This window comes from Homo sapiens, chromosome 1 (assembly GCF_000001405.40).
Source record: "Homo sapiens chromosome 1, GRCh38.p14 Primary Assembly".
In the NCBI taxonomy this organism is placed as follows: Eukaryota; Metazoa; Chordata; class Mammalia; order Primates; family Hominidae; genus Homo; species Homo sapiens.
In genome coordinates this window covers 5,220,537-5,226,923 of record NC_000001.11, presented here as the reverse complement: position 1 = coordinate 5,226,923, position 6,387 = coordinate 5,220,537, and the positions used below count along the sequence as shown (strand labels likewise).

At 46.6% G+C, this 6,387-nt stretch overlaps 2 annotated features.

Moving 5' to 3' along the window:
- Positions 320-917: an enhancer, noted in NCBI's record as "OCT4-NANOG-H3K27ac-H3K4me1 hESC enhancer chr1:5286067-5286664 (GRCh37/hg19 assembly coordinates)". NCBI's record gives its function as "activates a minimal SCP1, AML or CMV promoter by ChIP-STARR-seq in naive H9 embryonic stem cells {active_cell/tissue: H9 hESC(naive)}" and the evidence as "EXISTENCE:reporter gene assay evidence [ECO:0000049][PMID:30033119]".
- Positions 918-1,515: an enhancer, noted in NCBI's record as "OCT4-NANOG-H3K27ac-H3K4me1 hESC enhancer chr1:5285469-5286066 (GRCh37/hg19 assembly coordinates)". NCBI's record gives its function as "activates a minimal SCP1, AML or CMV promoter by ChIP-STARR-seq in naive H9 embryonic stem cells {active_cell/tissue: H9 hESC(naive)}" and the evidence as "EXISTENCE:reporter gene assay evidence [ECO:0000049][PMID:30033119]".

Sequence of the window (6,387 nt, the reverse complement as noted above, 5' to 3'; positions counted from 1 at the left end):
TAAAAGGAGAATCTTTATGTCCAGTGACATCTAGATCTCCTGCCCAGAGTCATCTAGAAAACTGTCATGAATACCTATTAGCATTTCAAGGTCCACCTGGCCAGGGTATTATTGTCCCTTGTCCAGGCTTCTGTCCATTGTAAACCCAGCTGGGCTTACTTCTGTGCATCTGTGCCGCTGACCCAGGCCCACTGTGCAGTGGGACACCATCCTCCGTGGTCTGCCAGCTCCCTACCTCCCCTCAGCCCTAGAGGAAAGCGGCGGGGGGGGAGGAGGGAGGCGGTGGCAGGTATCAAACCATGCCTGTTCCATTTAATCCGCAGACAGGTAGATAAAGGATAAAACCTAATGAGCCATTGTTTGCAAAGGCTTGGAGGCTCCTGGTGGGGTTCCAGCCAAAGCATTGTAGTTATTTTAAGATGATACAAATTACTGATCCTGTGATAGAGAAAGAATGTGCCCTGGGCCCAGTGCTTCCCAGGGACACCTGCATCGGCTCGGCTTGCCTCCTCTTATCCTGCAGAACCCTTCTTTCCAGCTAATATTTCCAGAGAGGCGAGCCTGGCTCCTGTGAATATCTATTCAAAGGCCTCTCGGGTGCTGCAAGGCCCAAGCAGAGAGTGGTCCAGCCCCTACGGAAAGGCACTAAAGGTCCCAGGACGTGGCTTCAACTGACCTGCCCAGTGCGGCTCAGGCCTCGTCTCCACCCACCACTTCCTGTCCTGTCTTTTCTTCCTCCCGACCTTGGTTTGTAATTTTTCTCTGCCAGCACTGCCTTCACCAGCTCCTCATCTTTGCTCCTTTGAAAATCCTAACCAGATGATTGGGAAGATTACAAAGAGTTAGAATTAGAATCAATAGGATTAAGAATTAGAATTGAAGGCCAGGATTCGGGCTCAGCAGTTGCTAATTGTGTGATCTTGGATCCTCTAGCTCCCATCACAATCACCACTGTCGTTCTCTCGTCTTCATTACAATAGCAACAGCAGCAGCAATAACAACAGCAAGAAGAAGAATAATAAAGGTAATGCAGCAATGCTAGTAAGATAAACACCCTTTATCCATTGTTTACGCTGTGCCTAAGGAGCTTATCGTGGAGCTTTCATGTCCACACTGGGAGTTAAGCATCGCTATCATGTTTTACAAAGGAGTTAAATGTGAACCTTGAAGTTCAAGGACAGCCCCACAGCGTATAATTCCATTTAAGTGAAATATCCAGAATTGGCAAACCCATACAGATAGTGTATCAGTCGTGTTCCTTTGGAGAAACAGAACCACAGAACCAGTGGGAAGTGTGTGTGTGCATGTGTGTGTTTGTCTGTGTGTGTGGAGACAGAGAGAGAGAGATTGATTATGGGAACTGGCTCACATGATCGTGAATATTATGGAGACTTGGAAGTCTCACAATCGGCTGTCTGAAAGCTGGAGATCCAGAAAAGCTGGAGGTGTAGATGAGTCTGAGGCCAAAGGCCTGAGAACCAAGGGACGGGGAGAGGGTAGAGGAGCTGGTTTAAGTCATGGAGTGCAAAGCTCCAAGAACCAGGAGCTCTAATGTGAAACGGCAGAGAAGATGGATGTCCCAGTTCAAGGAAAGAGAGAGAGGGAGAGAGAGGGAGAGAGAGGAAGAGAGAGGGAGAGAGAGGGAGAGAGAGGGAGAGAGAGGGAGAGAGAGGGAGAGAGAGGGAGAGAGGGAGAATTTGCCTTTCCTTCTATCTGGGTTCTCAGTGGATTGGATGCTGCCCACCTTCACTGGTGAGGGCAGATTTTTACTCATCCACTGACTAGATGCTAATCTCATCTGGAAACACACTCCCAGACACACCCAGAAATAATGTTCTACCAGCTATCTGGACATCCCTAAGCTCAGTCAAATTGATGCATAAAATTTGCCATCACAGGCGGAAAGCAGGTGAATGGTTTCCAGGGCCTGGGTGGTGGGAGTGATGGGAACTGACTGCCCGTGGGTACAGGGTCTGCTATTGGGATGGTGAGAATGTTCTGGAACTTGATAGTGGTGATGGTTGCACAACATACTGAATGCATTAAATGCCACTGAATCACATATTTTAAAATAATTACAACGGTGAATTTCATGTTATGTGTATTTTACCACAATTTTTTAAAAGTTCAAGGAACTTACGCGAGTCTGAGTCCAAGGTGTATGACTTTCATCATCCTGCCCCCTTTGCTTTCCTCACATGGCTTTCCTGCCCCTTCCCAGCTGTGGAATGTGGAGAATATAATACTTTGCAGATACTCTATAATTTGTAGAGCCCAGTGCAAAAGAAAATATAGGTTCCTTAAAAAAAATCTTTTTAAGGCCAGGCGCAGTGGGTTACGGCTGTAATCCCAGCACTTTGGGAGGCCGAGGCAAGAGGATCATGAGGTCAAGAGATCGAGACATTCCTGGCCAACGTGGTGAAACCCCATCTCTACTAAAAATACAAAAACCAGCTAGGCATGGTGGCGCGTGCCTGTAGTCCCAGCTACTCGGGAGGCTGAGGCAGGAGAATGGCTTGAACCCGGGAGGGCAGAGGTTCCCACTGGTGCATTATCTGATAAACATCTGTGAGTAAGTCCAACGATGAGATCATGGGCTTTGGAATGCCCCAGCTCTGTTTCTGACCAGCTGTGTGATGCTGAGAGACTGTAACTTCTCTGATCCTAATATTAACCTTCTTAAAGGTCGTTGGAAGATTAAATGAGAGCCGATACTGATCTCAGATGACGTAGCCTGGCAGGCAGCGTTGCTTCTGGAACTCCTGTGCATTAACCAGTGCATTAACTGGTACACTTATAGGGATCATTAATAAAGTGGGTTTAATAATAATACCGATAACCTGAATAGTAATAATAACACCATGCTGGGCACAGAGCAAGCATTTCCTAAATAAATGTTACCTAACTGTTGAGGCATGATGGATAATTATCCCAGATGAATCTGACTTATTAAAATAGAATCTTGCAGTGAATTGTTAGGAGATCCACATATCCTCAGGGTACTCCCATTTACAGTCAAGTGGGAACGTTTAGAAAAGCCCGTATGGGGGTATGAGTTTGCCTGTTTGTCCTGACAGCAAGGGGCAGACTGTACTAAAAAGATCATCCCTTGTCTGCTCCACTCACTGTTCCTGATGCTTAAAGAGCCACATTTTGTGCTGTAGAAATTGGTTGAAATCCCTGTTGATTGGGCCAAGATCATGCATGGATAGGTCCGTGCTGGGTGCCTGGCCTGCACTAAGTCAGTGAATAAGTATTGGCTCTTCGAAGAGTCATATCAAGTGTTAAAATAGGGAAACATCCAGCTTCACTGAATGGCACCGAATTGAAGCTCACAGCGCCTGGCAGCCATGGCTGTCCCATCAGTTCTTTTTCACTCCCGCTTCTCCGGTTGGCATTCCATTCTTATCTGGGCTGCCTTTGTCTAGAAGGTCCAGCTTTGCAGGGTTGGCCCTCTCACCAGAGGCTTCCTTTGTCTGCTTGTCAGGGCTATGCTGTGCCTCCCTCCCTCCCTCCCTGTGTCCTGCCAGTCACTCTCCCCATCTGAACCCACCCAAGCCCTGGTGCCTGCATGTCCCTGACTCCTCCTCTCTGGGGCTGTCTGTGTCCATCTGTTTCTAGTCCAGCTCTTTTGTTGGTTTCTCTCCTGAGACACTTCCTATCACCCAGCATGTTCTTTTCCTTCCCATTAGTTGATGCATTTCCATAAAAAGTCCCTGGACCCTTCCTCTGCCACAGCCGTGGATCCTTCTCATCTTTCTGTCCTCTGAGCCTCATGTCCCTAGAGGCTCTGTCTGCCTCCTGTCTTTCTGCAACAGCAGGTTTTTCTCCACACTCTTTGACACCATTGTCAGCCTTGGCATCTCCCTATAGCTCCAGAAACACCTAGAGTACTCCCTCCAGCTCCACCGTGGCCAAGGGGGCTCCCCTGCCCTGTCAACCCTCCACCTTGCAGTGGGAAATGCAGTGCCCGGGGCAGGGCTCCCCTTTGGTTGTCTCTACATTGCCTGCTCCAGCTCCCAGAGGGGTGAAGGGAGGGACTTATCTCAATGTGGTTTATAGCATCCCCCATTCACAGGCTCTCTGGCCCTATCTCGCTGGCATCACCATGGCACCCTGGAAATGGTGCTTGTTAATGCTGGGCTCATGCACCCACCTTGAGCACCCTTGGACTAACAGGTGCCCTTTAATTTGGGGAAAGCAGAAAGCTGACTTAGACTGTGCTTTCTCAGTGCAGAGCCAGATGGCTGCTTTCTCGAGAATTTGAATCCACTACTGAGCATCTCATAGTGATGTGATATTTTGTCATTTTCAATTAAAGAACCATGAAGACAGGGGCAGTGGCTCACGTCTGTAATCCCAGTACTTTGGGAGGCCGAAGCAGGTGGATCACTCGAGCTCAGGAGTTCAAGAGCAGCCCGGGCAACATTGCAAAACCCCATCTCTACAAAAAATTAGCTGGTCATGGTGGTGCACGCCTGCTGTCCCAGCTACTCAGAAGGTTGAGGTGGGAGGGAAGTCAAGGCTGTAGTGAGCCAGCAGAGATGGTGTCACTGCATTTCAGCCTGGGCAACAGAGTAAGACTCTGTCTCAAAAAGAGAGAGAGAGAGAGAAGGAAGAAAGGAAGGAAGGAAAGAAGGAAGGGAGAAAGAGAGAAAGAAAGAAACCATGAGAATAAGTAAGTTATTCCTAGGAACCAAGACCTATAAGAGCCCATAAACACCACTGGCAATTATGTGGCCAGTGCATTAACTGGTACACTTATAGGGAGCATTAATAAAGTGGGTTTAATAATAACACCGATAACCTGAATAGTAATAATAACACCATGCTGGGCACAGAGCAAGCATTTCCTAAATAAATGTTACCTAACTGTTGAGGCATGATGGATAATTATCCCAGATGAATCTGACTTATTAAAATAGAATCTTGCAGTGAATTGTTAGGAGACAGAACGCTTTCTCCATTCTTGGGGAACGTTTGGCGAGAATGGTTTTGAGTGGGCAGGCATTGCATAATGGTGTTTTTTTGATGCTCATTAAGATTTGCTTAGTGTTGTTGCCAGGTCCTCTGAGTGGGCTTAGGAAAGGTGAGAAGGCGTCTGTAGGATATTTAAAATCTGGTGTTTGGGGCTTGGGGCAAGTGCTCCTGGCAGATTTGAAATATCGAAGGATAAGACAAAGCAATTGGGCCAGAGACCCTGCAGGACAGAATTCAAAGGTTGCAGCCACAAGTTAATGAATCATGTCTCTCCATCAAATGTCCCCCGTTGTGTGTCAATAAAAATTTCAGAGTGTTAGCCAAGATGTCTCAGATATATTTTTTATTTAAGCTCCCCTAGGGCCCCATTGGAGCTTTCGTGCCAGCTGGTAAAGCAGTGTGAGAACTGAGGTCCTGGTCGCCAAGACTGTCAGCACTTGATGCATATCAGATAATTCTGTTCTCTTAACAACCCTGCGACATGGAGAGGGTTATGACCCCCATCCCATAGATGAAGAAACTGAGACCTACAGAAGTCATACAACTTGTCCAAAGCTCCACAGTCAGTAAGTTACAGAGCCAAGGTTGGTGCCCAGGTCCGTCCTTTCCTACGCCTGTGGTGTTGACTCCCACCCTCAAAGACGCCTGATGGTTGATTCAGAAAATGAAATGGCTTAGTCAACCAGAATCTGACCTTCTGAATCCAATTGTTGGAAGTGGACTCCAAGGGTTAGCCAGAGTTAACGTTACACTTCCTGGAACACCCTCTTGGAGTATTTCACTTGTGCCAAGTAAGTGGCTGCAAAGAGCTCATTGCAATTTGTTTCTCACTGTGACTTCGCACCTGCACCCAGGGGTCCAGAAATAGCACGGTTCAATCCTGATCGCAGTTTTGCAGACACTCTTGCTACACTCAACAGATGTCTTTCGATTCTGCAATATTTCCAACTGTCAGAGCTGAAAGAGCAATAAATAATAATGTTCTCACATTTACATAGCAATTGAACACACTGCATAGTAGAATGACTTTTCTTTTCACTTCAATATTTTGCACTGCCTTCTGAATTCTTGGGACGTTTGCATATCATTCCCAGGATGCTCGTGGAAAGCAAATATTTAGACTACATGGACATTATTCAGTTTTAGAACATATTTTTTTTCAGGAAAATAAGTGTTATTTAAAGCAGATGGTGCTACTGTCTCTGATGCACAGCTCGTAAGCCTCCTGAATTTATTTTTACACTCTTTGTATGGTACTATCTTTAAAACATCCCCTTATGGCAACCACAGATGTGTATGAGGTATTGACCATTTTTTTCGTCCTACTGAAGGTTTGTACAGAAGTAAGCTAATCCCAAACAAACCTCAATGTGGGTTATCCTTCACTAAAAGAAAAAAATCTGCAGC